The 24,466-nt window shown below is 44.4% G+C and overlaps 1 protein-coding gene across 1 annotated transcript in view; it reads right to left on the reverse strand.

The window, feature by feature from the left end:
- The window catches only part of PRKX (protein kinase cAMP-dependent X-linked catalytic subunit), a 109,310-nt gene that overhangs the window by 6,862 nt on the left and 77,982 nt on the right, over positions 1-24,466 (reverse strand). Inside the window, exons 5-8 of the mRNA NM_005044.5 lie at positions 15,218-15,313; positions 10,058-10,115; positions 4,614-4,691; positions 976-1,124 (exon numbers count right to left, since the gene is read on the reverse strand). Of these exons, the coding sequence (NP_005035.1) occupies positions 999-1,124; positions 4,614-4,691; positions 10,058-10,115; positions 15,218-15,313 (358 nt within the window). The 3' untranslated portion in view covers positions 976-998. The remainder of the gene's footprint in view (positions 1-975; positions 1,125-4,613; positions 4,692-10,057; positions 10,116-15,217; positions 15,314-24,466) is intronic.

Below are 24,466 nucleotides of genomic sequence, written 5' to 3' on the forward strand. Positions count from 1 at the left end.
GATGGAGGGCTCTCATTCACCACGTCTTTCAGCAGGTTGGTTCCTCTCCCCAGTCAGCAATTGTGACATTTGGTGTCTGTTTCGAATGGTGTTGGTTAGCCAATTGGCTTTCCACTTCACATAACTGGGAAGACTACAGGAAAATTACGGGAATGGAAATCAAAATGGGAAAAACAAGCTATGTCAATGAATAGACACATCACTGACAATATTTTGCTTCACTGGTATGTTTCTTGCTCGTGTGTTACAGGAAGAAAGATCTAATTGAAGCCATATAACCGAGCAATTTAGAATTGAGGAGTAACTGAAAGCTCTTTTTAATCCATACTTAAAAACTAATAATAGATTTTCAAAGGCTCAAGGAAATAACACAGTCAAAACCCTTTTTCAGTCATCTTAAATTAAAGCTTAGCAAATTTCATGAGGGATTCTAAAAAATATTATTATTATTTAAAAACTAATAATAGACCTTCAAAGGCTCAAAGAAGTAATAGACTCAAAATCCTTTTCCAGTCATCTTCAATTAAGCTTAGCAAATTTCCTATGAGGGCATATTTCTTCTTCTTATTTTTTAACCAAAGGAGACCTAAAGAGACTTTTGAAAATACTTGTTAATTATTCTAAGGAAGCTCGCCTGTCACTCAGGGTTTCTGGAACAGGGACCAGAGGAGCTGGGCTTCTCAAATATTCAGGCACACACAAACCACCTAGCGGTCTTATTTAGACATGCAGGTTCTGATGCAGAACATGGATTCTGGACTGTCATGCTGATGCCTCTGACGGTCACATGCTGACCTGGAGTCACAGGCATGGCTGTGTTTATTTCGCTGACCCTTGCAATCAATCCCCTTTGCTCTGCTTCACTGCTGACCTCTGTGTGCATGAGGTTAAGCCCCACTCAGTAAACGCAGCCTCACCTGGATGTGGGGTCGAGTCAGTCTCATTTTTTGGGAATTACTAAATATAAAGATATACCTTCCAGATGTGAGCTCCTGTCCTCAGAAATTCTTGAAGATTTCTAAATCCTTCTGCGGCACGGGCGCGGCTGTGTCCCAGTCATTCTCAGGGTAAGTTTCGAAGTTGGAAGTGTCGCCGTCACCAGCTATCTTGGGCACGATGGGAGGCTGTGAGACATGGCCGAAGCACAAAGGCATGGTTAGAAAGGGACGGGACACTTGGATGCTGCACACACCGCTTTATTTCTGTCACTGTACCTAAAAATGAAAATGATTTGCAAAACACTAAAGCTGTCTTCCCTTCATTTATGAAAGCGGCAATCTTTGAATTAAAATATTGTGAATGAGGCTGCGTGTGGGGACTCACACCTGTAATCCCAACACTTTAAGAAGGTGAGGCGGGAGGGTTGCTTGAGCCTCAGAAGTTTGAGACCAGCCTGGGGAACACAGGGAGTCCCCTGTCTCTACAAAAAATACAACTAGCCGGGTGTGGTGCTGTGTGCCTGCAGTCTCAGCTACTCAGTAGGCTGAGGTGGGAGAACTGCTTGAGCCCAGGAGGTCGATACTCCAAGTGAGCCATGATTGCACCACTGCATTCCAGCCTGAATGACTGAGTGAGATCCTGTCTCAAAATATATATATATAGTATTAAGTAAGCTATGGTACAGTCATGTGATGGAATACAATGCAGTATTTTTTAAAATGAGGAAGCTGGCTAGGCGCAGTGGCTCATGCCTGTAATCCCAGCACTTTGGGAGGCCAAGGTGGGAGGATCATCTGAGGTCAGGAGTTCGAGAACAGCCTGGCCCATGGAGAAACCCTGTCTCTACCGAAAAGACAAAAATTAGCCGGGCATAGTGGTGGGTGCCTGTAATCCCAGCTACTTGGGAGGCTGAGGCAGGAGAATCGCTTGAACCTGGGAGGCGGAGGTTGCAGTGAGCCGAGATCGCACCACTGAACTCCAGCCTGGGCAACGGAGCAAGACTTCGTCTCAAAAAAAAAAAAAAAAAAAAAAAAAAAAAAAAAAAAATGAGGAAGCTAGCCAGGTATGTAGACAGGTCTCCAGATTATATAGTCAAGTGCAAAAAGCAAGACTATAATAATGTACATACTACGCTACTCTAGATTTGTATAAATGAGTGGCAAAAATAAGAATGCATGTATCCATGTGGGTTTTTATTAGCACAAAGAAACTCTAGAAGGATACACAGAAAAACAATAAAAGGTGATTACCTACAGGTGGCTTGGAGGGGGTAAGAGGGAGACTTGGCAATATATCTGTTTTAATATTGACTTGGTTTTTGACCAATGTGGATAGATAAAACGTATTCAAATTGTTTTTTTAATGCAATTTAATACAATAAAGTATTTGAAAAGGTAAAACTTTGAACAAAATGATGCATCAGCCCAGGCCCAGTGGCTGACACCTGTAATCCCAGCACTTTGGGAGGCCGAGGAGAGTGGATCATTTGAGGTCATGAGTTCGAAACCAGCCTGGCCAACATAGTGAAACCCCATCTCTTCTAAAAACACACAAAAAAATTAGCTGGATGTGGTGGCGCACACCTGTAATCCCAGCTACTTGGGAGGCTGAGGCAGAAGAATCACTTGAATCCAAGAGGTGGAGGTTGCAGTGAGTTGAGATCACTCCACTGCACTACACCCCGAGCCTGAGCGACAAAGTGAGACTCCATCTCAAAAAAAAAAAAAAAAAAAAAAAAAAGAAGCGTATCATCCCAGGCTCCAGCCCCAGAAACTCTGGTCTGAGCTGAGGACTAGGAATAAGCATTTCTAAGCATTCTCCATTCTTTTAACTCTGAAGTGCAAAGGTGAAAACACTACCATTGACCACTCCCATCAGTAACATATGCAGTTCAGAGTGTTCACAAAAGCCAAGATATGGAATCAACCTAAGTGTCCACCAATGGATGAAAGGATAAAGAAAGTGTGGTCCATACACACAATGAAAAACTATCCGGCCATAAAATGGAATGAAATCCTGTCATTTATAGCACCACGAATGGAATGGGAGACCATCATGTTAAGTAAACTAAGCCAGGCCGGGTGCAGCGGCTCATGCCTGTAATCCCAGCACTTCTTTGGGAGACTGAGGCTGGTGGATCACTTGAGGTTAGGAGATTGAGACCAGCCTGGCCAACATGGTGAAACCCCGTCTCTAGTAAAAATACAAAAATTAGCTGGGCGTCTGTAATCCCAGCTACTCAGGGGGCTGAGGCATGAGAACTGCTTGAAGCCAGGAGGTGGAGGCTGCAGTGAGCAAGATCGTGCCACTGCACTCCAGCCTGGGCAACAGAGCAAGACGCTGTCTCAAAAAATAAATAATAAATAATAAACTAAGCCAGACGCAGAATGAGAAACACAGCGTGTTCCCACTCATATGTGGGAGCTAAAAAAATGGATGTCATGAAGGTTGAGAGTAGAATGATAGTTACCAGAGGGTGGGAAGTGTGTATAGCTAGGGGATGAAGGGGAGATGAAGAAATATTGCATAAACATAATGTTAGATAAAAGGAATAAGTTCCAGTGTTTGACAGCATAGTTGGGTGGGCAGAGTTAACAATATATTGTATATTTCAGAATAGCTAGATTTGCAATATTCCCAACCCATAAAAATGATAAATGTTTGAGCTGATGGATACCCTGGTTACCCTCAGTTGATCATTACACATTCTATGCGTGTGTCAAAATATAACATGTACCCCCATAAATATGTACCTGTGATAGTTACACTGCTTAGCAGCTGTGTAACCTTCCACACATTGCTTAACTTCTCTGAGCACAGTCTCCTCATTTATAAAATGGACAAGTATTATACATTGAAAAAAATGCCAGATTTTTTTTTTTTTTTTTTTTTTTTTGAGACAGGGTCTGGCTCTGTCGCCCAGGCTGGAGTGCAGTGGCATAATCTTGGCTCACTGCAACCTCCGCCTCCTGGTATCAAGCAATTCTTGTGCCTCAGCCTCCCAAGTAGCTGGTACCACAAGCATATGCCACCACGCCTGGCTAATTTTGGTATTTTCTGTAGAGGCGGGATTTCACCATATTGCCCAGGCTAGTCTCAAACTCGTGGGTTCCAGTGATCTGCCTGAGTTGGCCTCTCAAAGTACTGGAATTATAGGCGTGAGCCACAGCACCCAGCCAAAAAGCCAGATGTTTAAAAATAGGCAGTTTGGCCAGAAACGTTCCAAAGAATATTCTCCATGTAATACACCACCATCACTGAACGATGACCATGGTGCTAGACGCTTGCTTATCTCTGTAATCCTGTTGACCGCTTTCCACTAAAGAGGAGGGAGTAGGGTTTAGCAGTCACAGAGCTAGTCAGGAATCAGGCCAGGTCTCCTAAAATCTGCTTCAAAATCTGGGATAAGTGTCCATCCAGGGATGAATGGACAAAGAACATGTGGTATATGACTGGGTGTGGTGGCTCCTGCCTTTGTGGGAGCTAGGTAGATGGTTAGCACTAAGACACTCAAAGAGTGGGGAACTTGGCTTATGAACAGTTTTAGACAAATAGTTGTATTATATAAATTAATCACATGTCAGCCATCAATAAAGAAGTCCCAGGATTCAGAGGCAGTCCCTGCTAATGGAAGAGCTCGGGCATACTGAGTCACCCACTGATATGTGTTGTACCTTCAGTTTTCTCTGCGGAACAGCTTCCCAGTCCACGGAGCGGAACCACCGATGATGCTTCACATCATTCGCCCCGTTCTTCAAAAGAAACAACACATGTCGTCAGTGTACAGAATTTTGACAGGGCAGGAAAGAAAAATACCCCAAAGAATCTCTACATTATTTTAGTATTGAAACAAACAGACCAAGTTTGCTGCATTTTGGAGAACTGTGCCTGGAGGGTGAGCTGCCAGGAAAACCTGCAAGCAAAGCTGTTAGTGTTTTGTTTGCCCTTTTTTGCCGCAGAAACAAATCCAGTCATTCTGCTCCTGTGCAATGCATTTGCATTCCGGACCAAAGACGAAAAAGGTAAATACGATTCCATCTCTCGACATAAAATTGGACAGCCAGTAGTTTCTCAGTTTGTCTCCTGTTTTCATCTTGGCAAACTTACTCAGTATTTTACAGACATAGAAACTAGGGTTCAAGGAATGATGTTAATTTGCTCCGTAGGACCCAGCAAGTAAATAACAAGACTGGGAACTCAAACCAAGGATGTCCAGTTTAAGAGACCTTAGGAACGACATTGCACGGCCTGGCAATTAACAAGGTGCGTTCAAGTCGGCCTGCTTCATGCTCAAGGGTAGCACCAGGCATCGCTGGCTCACACTGTGGCCATCACGACCTCTGAAATCCCTCCCAAGTGCTCATCCGTAAACCTCACTCTGCTTCCTTTTCTTATACTTGTAGTGATGTCGTTATCAATTAAATGTGGGACAGCAGAAGAAATAAACGTAGGTTCCATGAAACAGAAGCCAGTACATCTGAATTTAACGCGTCTATCAGTTAGCATTACTGTAGTTTCAAATTTCTTATCCTTAAAGAGGAATACGTCCACAACCATATCTTCAAAAGGAAACAGTAATGTGAATTTTTTCTATTGTTTTCCCATCCAGTTGTTTTGACAACTTTTTCTTTTCTTATTGCAAAACAGGTATTTTTGATCTATAGCTAAGTCAGGCAACAAACAATAGCTGTTGAGTTTTCCCTTCAGCAATGTTGTGAATAAGAATAAATAAGAGTGCTGTGAATAAGAGAATAAAATAAATTTTATCCATCAGATAAAATTCTAATTTGGATACTAAAGGATGTGTGTGTCTGTATATACTCACATGCATACATAGTAATATATACACACACACATACATATATACACACATAGATTGATATATACATACTTATACACATACACACATTAATATATACACATACTTATAGACATACACACGTTAATATATACATACTTATACACATATACACGTTAATATATACACACATATATTTATATATACACATACTTATATACATACACGTTAATATATACACATTAAATATACACATACTTATATACATACACGTTAATATATACACATGTATTATATATATATATACACATATACATATGTACTTTACACACTTTATATGTAGAGTACAAAGTATATGTATATACCGAGATTCACATTAGTATCCAAACTAGTGTGTGTGTGTTATATAAAGTGTGTGTGAGGGGGGTGGGAGCAGTGGCTCACGTTTATATTCCAGCACTTTGGGAGGCCGAGGCAGGAGGACTGCTTGAACCCAGGAGTTTGAGACTAACCTGGGCAACAAAGTAAGACCTGGTCTCTACAAAAAAACATAAAAAATTAGCCAGCCTTGGTGGTGCATGCACTGAGTCCCAGCTACTCGGGAGGCGGAGGTGGGAGGATCACTTGACGCCAGGAGGTCAAGGCTGCAGTGAGCTGTGATCGCACCACTGCACTCCAGCCTGGATGACAGAGCAAGATCCTGTCTTGAAAAAATAAAAATAAAAAAAGTGTGTGTGTGGGTGTGTATCTACAGTCATGAGCCTCAAAATGATGCTTCAGTCAACAATGGATGACATATACAGTGTTGCTCCTGTAAGATTATAATGATCTTAAAAACTCCTATCCCCTAGTGACGCCATGGCCATTGTAACCACAGGACAATGCATCCCTCCTGTTACGCTGCCAGGCGTGTAACAGTCTAACACATACGTTACCTACGGCACCTAATACTTGGTAATGATAATAAATGACTATGTCCCTGGTTTATCTATTTACTATACTCTATGTTCTTTTTGGGGGGGCGGGGCAATGGACAGAGTTTCACTCCATCATCCAGGCTGGAGGGCATGGCGCCATCTTGGCTCACTGCAACCTCCGCCTTGCTGTGTCTCAAAAAAAAAAAAAAAAAAGAGAGAGAGAGAGAGAGAAATAAGCCAGGCACAGATAGACAAATACAGTCTGACCTCACTTACATGGGAAATCTAAAAAAGTTGAACTCATAGAAGCAGAGAGTAGAATGGTGGATACCAGGGGCTGGGAAGGGGCTGAGATGGGAAGTCATTGGTCAAAAGAGACAAAGTGAGAGAGACAGGAGGAACAAGTTCAGTCAGTGGCTTGCACAGCTCGGTGACTATAACTAATGATGTATTCTCAAGAATCTCTGGAAGAGTAGATCTTGCTGGGTGCAGTGGCTCTTGCCTGTAATCCTAGCACTTTGTGAGGCCAAGGTGGGCGGATCACTTGAGCTCAGGAGCTCGAGACCAGCCTGGGCAACACATCAAGACCCCAACTCTTAAAAACAATTTTTTTCTTAGATCTTAAGTGTTCTCACCACAAATAAATGGTAATTATGTGAGGTAAGGCATATGTTAATGAACTCAATGGACCCATTCCACAATGGGTACATATTTCAAAACTTCATGTTGTACATGCTAAATAATACCATTTTCATGTGTTAATTTAAAAAAAAAATAAAATAAAGTCAGTGTTTTCTTGAGTCTCTTTCAGTTTATCTCCATATCAGGAAGCTTTAACTAGACTTTAAGACCTAGCTTGGGAGTTTGTGAGCTTTTCCCCAATTCCTTTGATTGGGAAACTTGTTCTTCCCCCTTGGAAGGTACCTATGATGGTCACTACGCCATTCCCAGCAGATTCTAGATATGGGTCGTCTGTGATTCCCTGCAGTCCCAGCAAGAGACCCAGCTCTTTTCTAAATGGCTGTGGCATTAAAACAGGACTCGTCCAATCTTATGAAGAGCCGTGGCACAGATGAGTCCACACCGTGCAACCTGGCTGGATAGGCTCCTCGGAGACCTGAAGGTATCCGTTGCTGTCCGCAAATAATGTAAAGGACAGAAGCTTGACTACTGTTATAGGGTAAACAATGTCCCTCAAAAAGATATGTGCACATCCTATCCCCCAGTGCCTGTGAATATCACTTTATTTGGAAATAGGGTCTTTGCAGATGTAACTAAATTAAGGTTCTTGAGATGACATCATCCTGGAGAAGGGTGGGCCCTAAATCCAGTGACAGGTGTCCTCATAAGAGACAGAGGAGGAGACACAAACATAGAGAAGGCCATGTGAAAATGGAGGTGGAGACTGCAGTGGTGTGGCCACAAGCCTAGGGATGCCTGGAGCCCCCAGGAGCTGGGAGAGGCAGGAAGGATCCCCCACTAGAGCCTCTAGCAGGAAGCAGACACAATTATCACACATTGGGCAGTGGCCCTCAAAATATATGCCCATGTCCTGACTCCCAGTACCTGGGAATGGAACCCTACATGCAAATAGGGTCTTTGTAAATGTAATTAAGGGAAGGCTCTTGAGAAGAGATAATCCTGCATTAGGATGACCCTAAACCCAATGACAGGCATCCTTCTGAGAGACAGAAGAGGAGACACAGACACAGAGAAGGCCACGTGAAGAAAGACAGAGACTGGAGTGATGCGGCCATAAGCCCAGGGATGCCCGGAGCCCCCAGGGGCTGGGAGAGGCAGGAATGATCCTCCCCTAGAGCCTCTGGAGGCCTGAGACACCTTGATCTCAGACTCCTCGTCTCCAGGATGGGGAAAGCAGAAATTCCTGTTGTTTAAGCCCCTAGTTTGTGGTCAGTTCTTATGGCAGCTACTGGAGACTCGTAAACCACACAGAGGGCCCCAAGAGAGCCAAGTGGTTCAAGCCTCACACCCCGGTGTACTGTGTCTCTCCAGACTGTAATTTACAGGGTCAAGACGTATATGGAAGTTCCTCCATGTATAAGTCCCTCTGAGGTTGTCCAGAGCTAGAAATGGCCAACAAAAAGTCCATGAATTCTGTCAAATTCAGGGATGTCAAAACACGCATATCAGGTATGATACTACTTAAGGAATAGTCTGTTTGTCAATTATATACTTGCCTCCACACAAAAAGTTTGTGGAAATCATACCTGATGCACAACTTTTAAAATCATCACCTGCGCACACAAAACACCTACTCTCATGTCCATGGCAGAACCATTCACAAAAGCCAAAAGGTGGAAACAGCCCAGATGTCCATCCATAGATGAATGGATAAACAAAACGAGGTCTGCCCACACAATCGAATACTATGCAGTCAGGAAAAGGAAGGAAGCTCTGACACGGGCTACAGCCTGGATGAACCTTGAAGACATCGTGCTCAGAGAAAGAAGCCAGAGGCAAAAGCTTACATTTTGTACAATTCCATTTTTAGCAGAGCCCAGAACACCGAACCCTACAGAGAAAGTCAGTAGATTAGTGGCTGCTTAGGGTAGGGGTCCCCAGCCCCTGGGCCACAAACTGGTAGTGGTCCACGGCCTATGAGGAACCAAAATGGGCCGCACACCAGGAGGTGAGCAGCAGGCAGGTGAGCGAAGCTTCACCTGTACTGACAGCTGCTCCCCATGGCTGGCATTAGCACCTGAGCTCCGCCTCCTGTCAGATCAGCAGTGGCATTAGATTCTCATAGGAGCACACACCCTATTGTGAACTGCGCAACTAAGGGATTTAGGTTGTGCGGTCTGTGGAAAAACTGTCTTCCACAAAACTGGCCCCTGGTGCCAAAAAGGTCGGGGACCGCTGGCTTAGGGCAAGAGAGGATGAAAGAATAGCACAGTGATAACTGAAGGGTGCAGGGTTTCTTTTTTTGAACTGATGAAGATGTTCTAAGATTAACCACAGGGGTGGCTGTACATAATCGTGTGTATACTAAAAGCCACCGAATTGCACATTTTAGATGGGTAAATGGCATGGCGTGTGAATTCACTCTCCGTAAAACTGTTTAAAAAATAAAATAAATAAGTAAACAAAATAATGAGTAATAACTTATGCATTGTTATTGCTCTATTAACCTTGCTTGAGGGGAGGGGAGATACGGTGTAGACCCAGTTTGACGTTGTGGGCCCAGAAACCGAGATTTGATAGATCTTTCCTGGCAGTTTCAAGTAAAATTTAAAAAAATAAATAAAACACCAGATTTGAAATTTGGGCAGTGATTAAATACGACCGCTAAGCCTTGGTTTATACCTGCACATGCCAATGTGGGTGTTAGACGGCAGACACGCACATCGGGTACCACTGAATACCCACGGGATCAAATACTGACCTTCATGTTTCCTAATCGCCTTGTTCTGTCAACCACGAGCAGTTTCTTAATGAGGTCTCTATGTTGGGGAAGGAGACAAAAAAAAAAAAAGTACACAGATTATATATCAACATCAGCAAACGCAGCATGGCAACAGAGATAAGATCTATCTGACATGAGGACCGCAGTTCAATTTCCACTTTGGCAAAACACTTTCTAGTGCTTATTTCCTACCATCACCGGCTCTTAAATCACCTATGCAAGGCTGGGTTGCCCCGTGCAAGGCTGAAGCTAAGGGAAGGGGGTTGATTACATCTTTGTAAAGAAAATACACCTCTGAGTAGAAAAGGGTGAAATTTATATGTGCCTGCAGGGAGGATCCAGACACTTAACGTAAACATGCCTGTCAGGCTGTCCCTGCAAAATAGAAGACATCTGCTTTCACCAACATCAACACTCACGCGCTGTCCTGGGGGTCTGCTTATTGATGGGATTCCTGTTTTAAAAGGCTGGCTTTCCCATAAGCACACACATTAGGATGAGTCTCCTAAGTCTGCTTCTTCACTTATAATCTTCCTTTTAAATAACAGACCATGTCAGAAGTACAGCAGGTGGGGAGGTTGGGCATACTGGCTCACACCAGTAATCCCAGCACTGTGGGGAGGCCGAGGCGGGTGGATCACTTGACGTGAGGAGTTTGAGACCAGCCTGGCCAACATGGTGAAACCCCATCTCTACAAAAAAAAAGAAAAAGAAATTCGCTGGGCATGCTGGCACACAACTGTGGTCCCAGCTACTTGGGAGGCTGAGGCACAAGAACCGCTTGAACCCAGGAGGCGAAGGTTGCAGTGAGCTGAGACTGAGCCACTGCACTCCAGTCTGGGTGACAGAGGTAGAGTCAGTCTCAAAAAAAAACAAAAACAAACAACAACAACGACAACAAAAAACAGCAAGCTGCTTCAATTAGGATGGGTAGTTGGAGATGATGTTGAAGACTTCCAGGAGATTAGGTGAGTTCTAAAAGATGCATATTTATGGAAGTAGAAATGATCATGTGTGTCTGTGTGTACACATAAAATACACAGAGTACATTATGTATAATAACATACATAATATGATATAATAATATAATATATTGAAGTCCCCCAAAACAATCCAATACCCATGACCCCGGTGTAAGCGTCTAGGCTTTCCCAGCATAAACTATGCCCCAAGGTAAGTAGCACGAACTTGGACTGAGCCACTCCCAGGTTCTGTGACAGACTGTGGAGTCTCCGACAAGCCAGGTGACGTCCTAGGGTCAGACTCCACCATCTAGATTGTGAATCTCGCCAGTGCTGTCTGATCGGAAATTTTACAGTTTCCTGCCACCATGCTTTCTGAATTAGGATGGGATGCTTGTCAGACTTCACCGCTTCTCTGCCACAAAGTAAAACTCAGAGACCATCTGTCCGCCCACCTAAGGCTAGGATTTTGTATCCATCCTGTAAGGCTGAAAAGCTTTGAGCAGGATGGGGAATATAAAAATCACCTAAAAGTTAGAAACCTTTCCACTACTTAGTGAGTTTCTCCTTCATTATTTTGACATGCTCCCCCCTGCCAAAAAAAAATCAAGGTTATCAAACACTATACCCCCAAAACATTCCCAAATAAATGTGGGGCTTCGTCCCCCACGTGATTTACACCACTGCCTGCCCCCTTACCACACACACTTAAAGCTCACTGGAGTGCAATTATAAGACAGGTTTATTTATGCTTTTATATTTTAGATAAACCTTTGTTTTCTTATAATCCCAGTCCAATCAGCTTTAAGTGTATACGCTAATGGGGCAGGCAGTGGTGTAAATTATAGGGGGGAAAAAAAGCCCTATGTTTATTTCAGAATGTTTTGGTGATCACCTGATAAATTTCAACGTGTGTGTGTGTGTGTGTGTGTGTGTGTGTGTGTGTCATGTAAGAAAACAAAATGTTTGATGACCTTGAATTTTTTTTTAAATTTTTTTGGTGTTTGGCATGTAAGAAAATGAAGATTTATTTAAAATACAGGGGACAGTGGCTTGTAATCCCAGCTATGCAGTGGGCTGAAGTGGGAAGACCACGTGAGACCAAGAGTTCGAAACCAGCATGGGCAACATAGTAAGACCCTCGTTTCTACAAAATATCAAAACATTGGCCAGGCATGGTGGTGCATGCCTGTAGCACCAGTTACTCGGGAGGCTGAGGTGGGAGTGTCATTTGAGCCCAGGACGTCGAGGCTGCAGTGAGCTATGATTGTGCCACTGCACTCCAGCCGGGGTGACAGAGCAAGACACCCGTCTCTTTAAAAGAAAAAGTAAAATACCAAAGCAAACTCTTATAAAGCAGTCTAGAAAGTAAAGAGTATGGATGAGAAGAGGCCCCTGAAGATGCAAAGCCCTATAAAGGAACGACAGAAGTGTCCACAGCTGTAGATGGGTCCCTTGACCCCGGGATAAGCGACACATCTGCCGGCACTCTTTTGATGCACTGTAGCCAAAATTCTACATTTTATTTACGATCCTGGCACCAGCTGGCTCCTCTCAGATGCAGGTACTTTCAGGTGTTGTAAAAAACACCGGCAGATAATACCTCTACTGAATTGGCAACAAGTCCCAAAGCTTTGTTTTGGTGTTTTGTTTTAAATGATATTTATTTCTATAAGGAATGTCAATCCTGATGTGCCATTTGCCCAGGCGACATGTTTACCTGGTCAAATGATAAAAGTTGCAGGAACCAACATATGACTTTAAAAAGCAGAGAATCAAAATTCTAGCATCATGGACAACCAGGGACAGTGATTTGGATAAGAAAAATGCCTCATTAAGGCCAGGTGCAGTGGTTCACGCCTGTAATCCCAACACTTGGGGAGGACAAGGCAGGAGGATCAGTTGAGCCCAGGAGTTCAAAAGCAGCCTAGGCAATGCAGCAAGATCCCCATACCCATCTCTACCAAAAAAAGGAAAGATATGAGTCATTGAGGTCTTGCTTCTCAGCCAATTTGATAAGATTTAACAAATAATGGGAAGAAGTGAACTGTCAGTTCACTTCTATCTATCACTGTTTCTGCTCTTGGGGAACCCACACTGGGTATGTAAAGAAACAGGGGCACTGTGGGGAACACTGGAAGGGGCTGGGAGCTGCATAAAGAGAGGCATGTTAGATCAGACAGTACCAAGATGGTCGCTGCTGGTTCCCTACTCTCAAAGAAGATAAACTAGGAGAGAAAGAAGGACAAGTGGCAAGAGACCAGACTTTGATTACGCTTCTGGTTTATTCTATTTCTGCAATTCCTTTTTTTGTTGTTGTTTCCACAGAACATTGGAAACCCCCCCCATATATATATATAATTATATCTTTTAATTTTATTATTTTTTCTTTTCTTGACACAGAGTTTCACTCTTTCATCCAGTCTGGAGTGCAGTGGTGCAATCATAGGTCACTGCAGCCTCGACTTCCTGGGCTCAAGCAGTCCTCCCATCTCAGCCTCCCTAGTAGCTGGGACTACAGGCACTTGCTACCATGCCCAGCTAATTTTTAAATTTTTTGTAGACATGGGGTCTTGCTACATTGTCCAGGCTGGCCTCAAACTATTGGATTGGCCCCAAGCAATCCTCCCACTTCGGATTGCTCCTGAAGTGCTGGGATTACAGGCATGAGCACCTCACCTGGCCAAACTCGATCATAAAAGTGCTTTGCCATCCACTTAATATAATGTCACTCAACTCAGATGGGATTTGGGGCCTGAGAGAGAGGTTCTATATAATCCTTTCTATTTCCTTCCAGAGCAGTCGGCTTCTGAGGTGCTGTTTCCCCTGACACCTCCCTGTCTTACCATTCACTGGACAGGGTGTCCCTTCTAGGCGACTCATTGTTAAGCGGAGCCTCGTTTTCTTGCTAAAGTCTTTTAAAGCCTGCCTCTTAGTGTGTCAAACACAACACATGCTCAAGCCAATAAAACACGACCTTATCTTCTGTTCAGACTAAGAACCTCTGGTTAGGATGGGGTGCGTTCACCACCAAGAAACTCAACTGAACGTAGCCAGTGGCCCCATAAGGGGCATATTCAAAACAACCTGCTCCATCGCCCTGAAATAAGTCTTCTCTGAACTGAACTTCCACCGGCTCATAAGAAAATAGACCATGGAAAAGAAAAGTTTAATTCTCAACTAGATGCATTTAGCTCTAGTTTGTGCCCAGGGGGCTGGTGCACCCATCAACTCATCTGAAAAATACAGTGAAACAAACAGAAATCAGTGCTTATTACAGTAAAAATGGCTACCAGTTGACCAGATTGGGTAAGGTAGCCAGAAAACCAAAAGCATTCTTTTTTTTTTGAGACAGAATCTTGCTCTGTCGCCCAGGCTGGAATGTAGTGGTGCGATCTCAGCTCACTGCAACCTCCGCCTCCTGGGTTCAAGCGATTCCGCTGTCTCAGCCTCCCAAGTAGCTGAGACTACAGGCGCCCACCACCACACCCAGCTAATTTTTTATATTTTCAGTAGAGCCGAGGTTTCACCGTGTTTCCCAGGATGGTCTCGATCTCCTGACCTCGTGTTCCACCCACCTCAACCTCCCAAAGTGCTGGGATTACAGGCATGAGCCACCACGCCCAGCCGCGTTCTTATATTTAAGAAAATAATATATTTTTTCCCTACTGCCACGACCTTTATAAAATGTGCATCCAAAGTTGCCAATATCCAGCAACTGTAAATATCCTTGAAGCAACATGCTCAGAACTGAAAATGTTGACGTTAAAAAGGACTTAGAGGTTGAGCATAATTTAAGCAGGAGAGAAAGGATAAAACTCTGCTAAACCCATCAACAGTTCTGTTAGCCACAGAACTAGGAGGATCCTTCTTGTCAAATTCCAAAACTGCTCTCTTATAAAATACGATGACAAACTCGTTCATTGGCTCATTTTAAATATAACATACCACCAAAAGAACACAATACGGCCAAGACTCATTAAAATGTGAAGCTATCATTAAAGTAGAATACTGAAAATCTTTTTCTTTTCTTGTGGAAAAGACAACTGTCCAAAATAGTTTATGCGCAGCACATTTAATAACACAATATGGTATCCTGCTGAGTGCGTGCTTTCACGGTGATTTTAGACACTTTAAAAATAAACACACCTCATGATGAGGCAAACGGTTTACTTACTTTACATGGAAATCCAAATGTCTGGGGAAATCTATTTTGCCTGCAAGAATTTTCTGATAAATGCCAAACGGGTTGTCATCAAAAAACGGAGGAAACCTGTTAGAAAAACAAACATGTATTTTTAGTGGGGAGTAAGCATGGAAAAAAATCCCTGCTTTGTAACGATAGCTATTTCTGCTTCACACAGGCAGAAGGTAATTTATTTCACATGCTCTTCCCCGCACACTGAAGTTGTCACGATCTGAAAGCACGTGACAGTCAGATGGTTCTAAGAGGCAAGGCATCGTGTGCCACAGTCCGATGCAGGGGAAGCTCCCTTGGAGAGAATATAAAGACCATTTGAGAGGCGTCTGCTGAGCAGAAGGCAACTCCTTTTTGGGCATCTTATTGAGGGGCCACCAGCCCATTCCTTAACTGTGCACTAAACACTGGACAGCAATGCTCTCTCATGTTTACCGGGGTGAATCCACCACCATGACCAAGCATGGAACTCAAATGTCTCAAGAGCGAAAAGATAAGCACTCCAATTAAAAAATGGACAGGTGGTCTTCACAGACATTTCTCAAAAGAAGACATGGAAAAGGCCAACATGTATATGAAAAAAAATGCTCAACGTCACTAATCATCAGGGAAATGCAAATCAAAACCTCAATGAGGTGTCAATCATCTCAACCCAATTAAGACGGCCATTATCAAAAAGACACTGTAATCCCAGCACTTTGGGAGGCCGAGGCGGGTGGATAACCTGACGTCAGGAGTTTGAGACCAGTCTGGCCGACATGGTGAAACCCCATCTCTACTAAAAATACAAAAATTAGCCAGGCGTGGTGGCACGCGTCCGTAATCCCAGCTACTTGGGAGGCTGAGGCAGGAGAATCACTTGAACCCGGAAGGTGGAGGTTGCAGTGAGCCGAGATCGTGCCATTGCACTTCAGCCTGGGAAACAAGAGTGAAACTCTGTCTCAAAAAAAATTAAAAAAAAAAAAAAAAAAAGACACATACACACAAAAATAAGAAATGCTGGTGAGGATGTGGAGAAAAGGGAACTCTTTTTTTTTTTTGAGACAGGATCTCGCTCTGTCTCCCAGGCTGGAGTGCAGCGGTGCAATCTCAGCTCACTGCAACCTCTGCCTCCCAGGCTCAAGCGATCTACCTGCCTCAGCCTTCCAAGTAGCTGGGATCACAGGTATCTGCCACCATGCCAGCTAATTTTTGTATTTTTTTTTGTAGAGCGGGGGTTTCACCATGTTGCCTAGGCTGGTCTTGAAGTCCTGGGCTCAAGTGATCCACCCAGCTTGGTCTCTCAAAGTGCTAGGATTACCAGCGTGAGCCACTGTGCCTGGCCAAAAAGGGAACTCTTACGCAATGTTGGTGGGAACGTAAACTAGTAGAGCCACCATAGAGAAGAGTATGGAGGTTCCTCAGAAAAGCTAGAAATAGAACTCCCATATGACCCAGCCATCACATTACTAGGTATCTGTTCAAAGGAAAGGAAGTCATGATACTGGAGAGACATCGGCACGCCCATGTTTACCACAGCACCATTCACAACAGCCAAGATAGGGAATCAGCGTAGATGTCCATCAACAGATGAGCAGATAGGTAAAGAAAAGGTGGTATCTACACACAGTAGAATACTATTCAGCCATGAAAAGGAATACAATCCTCTGACTGGCAGCAACATGGATGAAACTGGAGGACATTATGTTAGGTGAAATAAGCCAGGAAAAGAACATTAAACAGCACTTGTGCTTACTCATACATGAAAGCTAAAAAAAAGCTGATCTCCTGAAAGGATAAAGAAGAACAGAGGATACTAGACGCTGGGAAGGGAAGAAGTGAGAGATAGGGAGAGGTTTGTTAAAGGATACAAAATTACAAGCAGATAGGAGGAATATGTTCCAGTGTTCTATAGTCTTGTAGGGTGACTATAATTAGCAATAACATGTCGTATTGTTTCAAATACATAGAGGATATTGAATGTTCCTAACACAAAGAAATGGTAAATAATTGAAATGGATATGCTAATTACCCTGATCTGATTACTCCATTCTTTGTATCAAAGCATCACTGTCTACCCCATGAATATGTACAATTATTATGTGTCAATTTAAAAAATAAAATAAGCCTGGGAAATATGGCAAAACCCAGTCTTAAAAAAATATATATTAGCTGAGTGTGGTGGTGCATATGTGTGGTCCCAGCTACTTGGGAGGCTGAGGGGGGAGGATCGCTTGAGCACAGGAGGTCAAGGCTGCAGTGAGCTGTGATCACACCACCACACTCCAGCCTGGGTGACAGAGTGAGACCTTGTCTCAAAATAAAATAAAATATAAAATAGGCTGGATGCTGTGGGTCATGCCTGCAATCCCAACACTTTGAGAGGCTGAGGCAGGCAGGTCACTTTAGGTCAGGAGTTCCAGACCAGCCTGGCCAACATGGTGAAACCCGTCTCTACTAAAAATACAAAAATTAGCTGGGCATGGTCCCCGGTGCTTGTAATCTCAGCTACTCAGGAGGCTGGGCCAGGAGAATTGCTTGAACCTGAGAGGCAGAGGTTGCAGTGAGCTGAGATCGTGCCACTGCACTCCAGCCTGGGTGACAGAGAGAGATGGAGTACATAAATGAAATGAAATATAAAATAATTGTTAAAATAAAGTTTACAGTGGTGAATACGCCACTATGGCCAAGAACAGGACACCTTTCTCGAGGCTTCCTTCACTCTACAGCACGAGCAATACCTGATTATGTCCAGCCCGGTACTGAGCCTGCTTGCACGGCACTATAAGGCATCCTCAATAAACTGCAAGTGAATGTCAGTGAACTACTTTTTTTTTTTGAGACAGGGTCTTGCTCTGTTGCCCCCAGGCTGGAGTACTGCAGCGTGATCCTGGCTCAGTGCACTCAGCCTTCACCTCCAGGGCTCAAGCTATGCTCCTACTTCAGCCTCCTGAGCAGCTGGGGCTACAGGTCTGCACCACCACGCCAGGGTTTTGTTTTTTTTTTTTTTTTAATTTTTGGTAGAGACAAGGTCTCACTATGTTGCCCAGGCTGGTCTCAAACGCTTGGGCTCAAGTGATCCTCCCACTTCAGCCTTCCAAAGTAATGGGACTACAGATGTGAGCCACCACACCCATTACTGAATTTCTTTATATTCCTCATTCATGGAACAGTATGTGGCACACAACAGGTGCTCAATAAATGTGTACAGGCCAAATGAAAGAGCCTGAGATATCATATTTTTCTTTTGTTTTGAGACAGGGTTTGACTCTGTCACCCAGGCTGGAGTGCAGTGGTGCAATCATAGCTCACTGTAGCCTTGACCTCCCCCAGGAGGCCATCCTCCCACCTCAGGCTCCCATGTAGCGGGGACCACAGGTGTGTGCCACCATGTCTGGCTAATTTTTTGACTTTCTATAGGGATGCGGTCTCACTATGTGACTACTTTTTAAGGTGCAGGAGCAGAGTCTGTACTTGTAACTGAGACTGGGTAGTCTGCAAAGCTGACCGAAGCTCTTTGCCCCAAGAAAACCATTTCTTGACCCCTGGAGACCAGGAAAAAGACAGAAATACATGCAAATACAGCCTTGAAAATGGTGCATGTGTAAAAACAAGATTGTCATACTATGCTTTGTTGACTGTAGTAAAAAGATTACAGTCCTGCTGCAGAAACCAGCAGACTTTACTAATACCTAGAAATGTTCAAAATATGTGAAACAAACTAAAAAAATATATATACTTAAAACTGCAAAGACCAAGATAAATCCAAGAACATCTAGAAGTCAACTGTATTAGTCCATTTTCAGTCTGCTATAAAGAACTACCTGAGACTGGGTAATTTATAAAGAAAAAAGATTTAGGCCAGGCGCGGTGGCTCATGCCTGTAATCCCAACACTTTGGGAGGCCAAGGTGGGCGGATCACGAGGTCAAGGAGATCGAGACCATCCTGGCTAACACAGTGAAACCCTGTCTCTACCAAAAATACAAAAAATTAGCCAGGCGTGGTGGCGGGCGCCTGTAATCCCAGCCACTCAGGAGGCTGAGGCAGCGGAATGGCGTGAACCCGGGAGGCGGAGCTTGCAGTGAGCCGAGATCACGCCACTGCACTCCAGCCTGGGCGACAGAGCAAGACTCTGTCTCAAAAAACAAAAAAGAAAAGAAAAGAGATTGAGTTGACTCACAGTTCCGCATGGCTGGGGAGGCCTCAGGAAACTTACAATCATGGTGGAAGGCGAAGGGGAAGCAAGGCACATTTACATGGTGGCAGATGAGTGAAAGCGAGCAAAGGGGGAAGTACTACACTTTAAAACCATCAGATCTCCTGAGAACTCTATCATGAGACTGTACTAGGGCAATGTTGCTAAACTGTCAGAAACCACTCCCATGATCCAACCACCTCTCACCAGGTCCCACCTCCAACACTGGGGATTACATTTAAACATGAGATTTGGGTGGGGACACAAAGCCAAACCATTTCATCAACCAGTAAGTGTATACTAGACACTTACATGTCCGTGGCACAAGTTGTACTTCTGAGATTTTCTCATATTGATCAGGACAGATACTCATATTGGCTCAAAGTCATGTTTTCCATTTAGCTTCTTTTGACTTAAGATATTCTAATTCAGGTATGCTAGCAACGGAAATACCTTATAAAACGGAGCTTTCAAATGACACCCTCATTGATTATCAGAAATGTCCATGAGCAAAAATAATTCTCCTGTAGATTCCAAATCACTTCCTGACCTTAACAAAATTCAGTGGAGTGGACGGAATGAGAGGTCCCCAAAAAGATACATCCATGATCTTACCCCAACAACCTGTGAATGGGACCTTATTGGGAAACAGGGTTTTCACAGATAGAATTAAGGAGCTTCAGATGAGATCATCCTGGAACAGGGTAGGCCCAAATCCAATGACAGGTATCCTCATAAGAGACTCAAGAGGAGGCACACACACAGAGGAGAAGGCCACATGGGGACAGAGGCAGAGACAGCAGTGATGCGGCCACAAGCCCAGGGATGCCTGGAGCCCCCAGGAGCTGGGAGAGGCAGGGAGTATCCTCCCCTAGAGCCTCCAGAGGGAACTGGATACACGTGTAGTGGATTGAACTGTGGCCCTCAGAAAGATCTGTCCACGTCCTAATGCCCAGACCTGGAATGAGACCTTATTCAGCAATAGGGTCTTTGCAGATGTGATTAATTGAAGGATCTTGAGATGAGATCGTCCTGGATTAGGATGGCCCTAAATCCAATGACAGGTGGCCTTCCTTCTAAGAGACTGAAGAGGAGACAGAGACATAGAGGAGAAGGCCACATGAAGGTGGAGGCAGAGACTGCAGTGATGTGGCCACAAGCCCAGGGATGCTGGAGCCCCCAGGAACTGGGAGAGGCAGAAAGGATCCTTCCCTGGAGTACAGTCCTGAGACACTTTGATCTCAAACTTCTGGTCTCCCGGACTAAGAGAGGATAAAGTTCTCTTGTTTAAACCTTTCAGTCTGTGGTAGTTTCTAACAGCAGCGTCAGGACATTCATACGTAGAACTACACACATGAACTGTCCAATACACTGCAGTGGAGAAAAATTCAAAGAAAAACAAAGAGGAGAAATATGAAGTACAAAAATGGAAATCAATGGGAGAGGTGACAGAGAAGTGGGGGTGGGTTACATGAGGAAATGAAAGTTACCAGAGAAAGGTAAATGATTAGGTGCGTGCGACGTGGCCCTAACACAGCATTTCTTCCTTCTTAAATAACATTTCAGTTGCTTGTTTTGCACTTTAGCATGAAGGTGAGTTTCCCAATAGGGTATCTCTTTGGGCCGCTGGTCCTGGAGTTACGAGCCACCACAACGTACTGAAAAACCACCCAGGCCAGGCTGGGAAGCAGAGCTCTGAGTACAGACACTCATGCGATCTGCGCCAACCCTGCCGCCTCAGACGTTAACAACCTCCCGAGCCCGTCCTCCCTCACCTGCCCGCAGCGTTCTCTGTAACAGTAGTTGGGGGAGTTGTATTCCTGTTTCTCTCTGGGTTTGGGTGGCGACTCAGCTGTGTGAATAATGCACAAATACAGGAATGGAGCATTAAACTCCAGGAGGAAATGTGCCATACATACCTAAAAACATTTATGGAGAATATTAAACGAAGTGCTCTTGGACAGTAGACATTACATAAGATCATGGGAAAGGTATTAATAAGCGGAAAAAGATAAATAATAAGTGAGCACTAACTGATGATCTTGCCTGAAAGAAAAAGCAGAGACAGTGTGTGTGTGTGTCTGAGAAACAGCACTCCCCCGGACGCCTGGGCAGTGCCCTCTGAAACCCTCAAATTTCTGTCTCTAAACATACAGACTGCTTCCAATTCTTACCAAGTGGAGAATAAATTCTCATTATATGGCATTTGGCATTATTAAGCAAGTTAAATTGATCTGTGGTGACAGCTACACTTGCAAGGACAATCTGCTAATCAGCATGAATGCAAGCTCCAGATTTTCGCCTGAAAAATTCATGCCCAGGCTAGGCACAGTGGCTCATGCCTGTCATCCCAGCATTTGGGGAGGCCAACGCGGGAGGACTGCTTGAGCCCAGGAGTTCAAGACCAGCCTGGACAACACAGTGAGACCTCGTCTCTACAAAAAATTTAAAAATTATCTGGACGTGCTGGTGTGTGCCTGTGTTCCCAGCTACAGCCTCTGCGGTCCCCAGCTACAGCCTCTGTAGTCCCAGGAGGCTGAGGCAGGAGGATCGCTTGAGCCCAGGAGGTCGAGGCTTCAGTAAGCTATGACTGCACCACTGCATTCCAATCTGGACACAGAACAAGACCCTGTCTCAAAAGAAAAAAAAAAAAAACAAAAAAAACGCTCATGCAGTGGCTCACGGCTGTCATCCCAGCACTTTGGGAGGCCGAGGCAGGTGGATCACTTGAGCCTAGGAATTTGAAATCAGCCTGGGTAACATAGCAAGACCCTATCTCTACAAAAAAATTTTAAAAAATTAGCCAGGTACAGTGACGTGTACCTGTCATCCCAGCTACTCAAGAGGCGGAGGTGGGGGTTTGCTTGAGCCCAGGAGGTCCAGGCTGCAGTGAGCTGTGACTGCACCACTGCACTCCTGACTGGGCAACAGAGCAAAACTGTCTGCAAAAACAAAAAAAGAAAAATGAAAAAAATTTACACCAATTGTGCCACTAGCTCTATCATTTGCCAGTAAAATTTGAATGTAACCATTCCGCCTATTTACATCTTCCAGTAAAGTGGATGGTGCAGGCAGAGATACCCTGGGCGCTGTGAGCTGATGTTCTCCCTCCTACTCAGCTGGAAAAACACCCTCCTAAACTATCAGCTGACACACTACCTGCTCCAGTTCTGAGGACCGGGGCTGGCCTTGGAAGACAGGTGCTTTGGAAATGCATTCAAGAAAAGGAAGGCAGAGGTTTTTAGAGAAAAGAAGAAAGCCGTCACTAGAATTTCACTAGAATTTCATCCCACCTTGACTTCTTCCTCAAAAATCCTTGTCCCGATACCTTCAGATTAAAAACTAAAATTTAGGCCAGGCGTGGTGGCTCACACCTGTAATCTCAGCACTTTGTGAGGCTGAGGCAGGTTAATCACTCGAGGTCAGGAGTTTGAGAGCAGGCTGGCCAACATGGCGAAACCCCATCTCTACTAAAAATACAAAAATTAGCCAGGCACGGTGGCACGCACCTGTAACCCCAGCTACTCGGCAGGCTGAGGCAGGAGAATTGCTTGAACCCAGGAGACAGAGGTTGCAGTGAGCCGAGATCGCGCCACTACACTCCAGCCTGGGTGACAGAGCAGGGGTCCCTCTAAAGAAAAAAAATAATAATAATTAATAAATAAATATAAAATCTGTGCTCCTCAGATGAATCAGGGAGGCTGAGGTGGGAGATGAGAAAGGGGAACTTGAGGGCCAGTTAAAGCGGAAGGAGCAGGCACTGGGGTGTGTGAGGGTTGGGGCAGAGTAGAGGGTGAAAATATAGCCCCGGGCACGTTGACTTGGGCATCACAGCAGTGGCCCTCAAAGTGGAGTCCCAGGGTGGCTTCCCGACCTCAGTTTAGGGATGGCTGAGATCGTTTTTCTGACTCCAGTTCAGAATAGTGATGAATTTTCTCCTATGCCTCAACTAAACAACGTGCCACGCAGCACAGCAGACAGGCTGCAGACAGAGGGAGGAGAGGCCAGCAGCCCTTGTGAAAGCTGGACACTAAAGAGATTCACAAAACCCAGAAAATACAGCCAACCTCCTCACAAATGTTTTCTCTCTTTTTAGAGACAGGGTCTCTCTGTCACCCAGGCTGGAGTGTAGTGACGAGACCACAGCTCACCGCAGCGTTGACCTCCCAGCCTCAGTGATCCTCCCACCTCAGCCTCCCAAAGTACTGGGACCCTGGGCGTGTACCATCATGCTCAGCTAATTGGTTTATTTATTTCATTTTATTTTTTGTAGAAATGGGGTCTCACTATGTTGCCCAGGCTGGCCTCCAACTCCTGGGCTCAAGTGATCCTCCCACCTCAGCCTCCTGAAGTGCTAGGATTACAGGCGTGAGCCACCATGTCCAGCCTGAATGGTTTTAATTCTAGAAAGTGTGGTTACACATTTTTTTCATTTAAAAATGCTATTTATGTTCTCCTCTGATTATTTAACTTCTCATATATATTATTTATGTATTCTGTTGGTTTATATTTCAGTCTCTACTTTAATTTCAAATGTAGTCAGCGCGGACAGCTGTAACACACAGAAATGAAAGTTCTGTGGGTTGTTAATAACTTTGAGCTGTGTGTTGAAGGGTTCCCGAGGCCAACATGTTTGAGAACCACTGCGCAATGCCTAATGCTCCCCGTGGAAGAGGCTCCACTGCAGCCAAATTCCACCTTCTCTAGGATCTTCTGCACCCTGTCTGCTATGCTGTATTGTCTTAGTTGACACCTATGAAGAAAATTCATCACTATTCAGATCTGTCATTGGAAAAATGATCTCACTCATCTGCTGAAACACACTTCGGGAACCCCATAGTCCTCTGGGATGCCACTTTGAGAATCACTGCTGTCACAACTAAGACAAGATGGCCCAGGGGCTTTCTCTTACCCTGCACTCTGCTGTATGTCTTGTGTGTCCCTGTGTTTTGTTCTTGATGCTTTAGCTGATTTTTTTTTTTCTTTTTCTGAGACAGTGTCTTGCTCTGTTACCCAAGCTGATGTGCACTGGTGCAATCTCAGCTCACTGCA

This window comes from Homo sapiens, chromosome X (assembly GCF_000001405.40).
Source record: "Homo sapiens chromosome X, GRCh38.p14 Primary Assembly".
NCBI classification, from domain to species: domain Eukaryota; kingdom Metazoa; phylum Chordata; class Mammalia; order Primates; family Hominidae; genus Homo; species Homo sapiens.